This window comes from Homo sapiens, chromosome 6 (genome assembly GCF_000001405.40).
Source record: "Homo sapiens chromosome 6, GRCh38.p14 Primary Assembly".
Classification (NCBI taxonomy): Eukaryota; Metazoa; Chordata; class Mammalia; order Primates; family Hominidae; genus Homo; species Homo sapiens.
In genome coordinates this window covers 11,893,643-11,897,568 of record NC_000006.12, presented here as the reverse complement: position 1 = coordinate 11,897,568, position 3,926 = coordinate 11,893,643, and positions in this window count along the sequence as shown.

The following is a 3,926-nucleotide window of genomic DNA, read 5'->3' as shown; positions in this document are numbered from 1 at the left end:
AATTAAAAAAAAAAGAGGGAACACAAATTACTAATATCAGAAAGGAAAGAGAGAATATCACTACTGATCCCAGAGACACTGTAAGGATAATAAGGAATAATAATAAAGAATGCTATTATAACTTTATGCCCACAAATTTGATAACCTAAATGAAATGGACCAGTTCTTTGAAAGACATAATCTACCAAAACTTAGGCAAGAAGAAACAGTCTGAATAGACTTATATCTATTAAAGAAATTAAGTCAATAATAAGTAATACTAACCTCCAAAACAGAAAGTAACAAATCCGAAGAGGTTCACTGGTGAATTCTATCAAAGATTTAAAAAAAGAAATTATATCAATTTTCTATGATCTCTTTCAGAGGACAAGCAAAGGGAACACTTCCTAACTCATTCTACGAGGCCAGTATTATGTTAATATTAAAACCAAACGAAGATATTACAAAAAAAAATACAGACCAATATCTCTAGTGAACATAGATGCAAATATCCTCAACAAAATGTTAGTAAATTACATTGCAATTTATAAAAATAACTATATACCATTACCAAGTGGGATTTATCCCAGATATACAAGGCTGATTCAACATTCGAAAATTGTAATTTATCACATTAACAGGCTTAAGAAGAAAATTCATGTGGACATCAGTGGATACAGAAAAAAACATTTGTCAAAATCCAATACCCATTCATAATAAAAACTTTCAGCAAACTAGATATAGATGGAAACTTCCTCAATATGATTTTAAAAAATCTACAAATAACCCCACAGCTAACATTGTGAGAAACCAGAAATTTGCCTGCTAAAATTAGAAAAAAGGTGAGGAAGTCCTTGCTAATGCAATGAGATGAGGAAAGGAAATAAATGTACACAGATTGAGAAAGAAGAAATAAAAGATTCACAGATGACATAATAGTCTCTAGAAAATCCAAAAGAATAAACAACTACAACAATAACCACCACCGAAAAATTCCAGGAACTAAAAAGCTATTATAGCAAGGTTGCAGGATACAAGATTAATACACAAAAGTCAATCATGTTTTTATACACCGGCCAGGAACAGTGGAATTTGAAATTAAAAACACAATACCATTTACATTAGCAGCCCCCCAAAATAAAAGGCTTGGGTATAAATATAACAAAATATGTGCAAGATCTATAACAAATACAAAACTGATGAATAAAATCAAAGAGGAACTAATGGAGATTACATGTTCATAGAACAGAAGACTCAATATTGTCAAAATTCTCTTTCTTCCCAACTTGATCTATAGATTCAATGCAATCCCAATCAAAATCCCAGCAAGTTATTTTGTGGATATTAACAAACTTGCTCTAACATTTATACAGACAGGTAAAAGACACAGAATAGCTAACACAATACTAAAGGATAAGAACGAAGTTGGAGGAGTGACACTATCCAACTTTAATACTTACTATAAAGCTGCAATAATCAAGACAGTGTGGTATTGGCAAAAAGCAGACAAATAGATCAATGGAAAAAAGATCAGGAATAGACTCACATAAATATAGTTACCTAATCTTTGACAAAGAAATAGAGGCAATATAACAAAGTAGAGATAGTCTTTTCAACAAATGGTACTGAAAAAACTGGACATCCACAGGCAAAGAAAAAAAAAAAAGACACAGGCCTTATACTCTTCATGAAAATCAACTCAAAATGGACAGTATGCCAACGTATAAAACACAAAACTATAAAACTAGACAAGATGGGAGATGAGTTTGAATATAAAGATGACTTTTTAGGTACAGCAGCAATGGCAGAATCCATGAAAGAAATAATTCATAAGCAAGACTCCATTAAAATTAAAAGCTTTTGGCCGGGCGCGGTGGCTCACGCCTGTATTCCCAGTACTTTGGGAGGCCGAGAAGGGTGGATCACGAGGTCAGGAGATCGAGACTATCCTGGCTAACACGGTGAAACCCCGTCTCTACTAAAAATACAAAAAATTAGCCAGGCGTGATGGCGGGCGCCTGTCGTCCCAGCTACTAGGGAGGCTGAGGCAGGAGAATGGCGTGAACCTGGGAGGCGGAGCTTGCAGCAGTGAGCCGAGATGGCGCCACTGCACTCCAGCCTGGGCGACAGAGGGAGACTCCGTCAAAAAGAAAAAAAAATAAAAAGCTTCTTCTCTGCAAAAGACAATATCAAGAGAATGAGAAGATAAGTCACAGAATGGGAGAAAATATTTGAAAAATACATATCTGATAAAGGACTATTATTCAAAGAATACAAAGAACCATAAAACTCAACAATAAGAACACAAACCCAATTAAAAAAATGGGTCAAAGACCTTAACGGATACCTCACCAAAGAAGACAGACAGAAGGCAAATAAGCATATGAAAAGATGCTTTATATCAGATATTATTAGAGAAATGCAAATTAAAACCAAAAATGGGATAATACTGTATACCTATTAGAATGGCAAAATTCTGAAACACTGACAACAACAAATGCTGGTGAAGATGTGGAGCAATAGGAATTCTCATGTATTGCTGGAAGGAATGCAAAATGGTACAGTCATGTTGGAAGATAGTTTAGTGGTTTCTTACAGAACTAAAGAAACTCTTAACATATGACCCAGCAATCATACTCCTTGGTATTTATCCAAAGAAGATTATAACTTATGTCTACACAAAAACCTGCACACAGGTGTTTATAGCAGCTTTATTCGGAATTGCTAAAACTTGGCAGCAATCAAGATATCCTTTAGTAGGTGGGTGGGTGGATAAACTGATACATCCAGACTAGGGAGCATCATTCAGTACTAAAAAGAATAAGCTACGAAGCCAGAAAAGACATGGAGGAAACTTAAATACATATTACTGACTGAAAGAGGCCAATCTGAAAGGCTACATACTGTGATTTAAACTATATGATATTCTGGAAATGGCAAAGCTATGCAGAAAGTAAAAGTATCAGTGACTGCCAGGTGCTTAGTGGAGGAAATACATAGGTGGGGCACACAGGATTTTAAGGCAGTGAAACTATTCTGGATAATACTGTAATGGTGCATACATGTCACTGTACATTTGCTCAAATCCTTACCATGCAGGACACCAAAAGTGACCCTAAAGTAAGCCATGAGAGCTACCTCCCCCATTCAGTATCCCACTTGTAAATCAGGAGTGCTACTCTAAGATAAGGGTGCCATTGTCTCTACCTCTAGCACGAGAGCTGTGGTGCAGAGGTTTCATTCAGGGGATGGGGAGGCCTAAGAACAGACATGGGGAGGTTCAAACCTAAGGGTGATGTTTAAATTAATGGTGATTTTGGTGGTAATCAATTAAGAGGAGAGCTTCATGATAGCAACAAGCTAAACTGAAGACCAGCTAGAAGTTTAACAGAGAGAACCAGGGAAAGAAACAGCTAAGAAGAGCCCTTCTGGGGTCGGAAAAAAATCTCACTGCCTAGCCTCAAAGACTATTTCTGCAAAGGGGCCTGAATCAGACTGTGGAGAAGTGTATGATGCATGATTTTATGGAATACAATAGAGAAATCAGCTGGATACTGGAGGAGGTTAACTGCCATTGTAATACTAATAGAGGCAGAGGAGCTAGAAGCTTAACAGAGAGATCATGGGAAGGAGACATTCAAATATAATTCTGGTAAAACCACTGTCCTCCCAAGGTAATCATATGCATACTCAAGTCTGTGTCCTCTGAGGAGAAATATCAGAGGCTACACGCTACAAGGTAAATGTATTTTACTGACATTGCCCAATAAAATCACTAAATGAATAAACAAGCAAACAAAGCAACAATACTTCTGGGAGAAGGACAATATCAAGTGTCACCACAGTGTATTATCTAAAATGTCCAGTTTTCAAAAAAAAAATTATAAGACATACAAAGAAATGGGAAAAGTACAACCTGTACAGGGTTAGGGTGGGGGAGAAAAAAA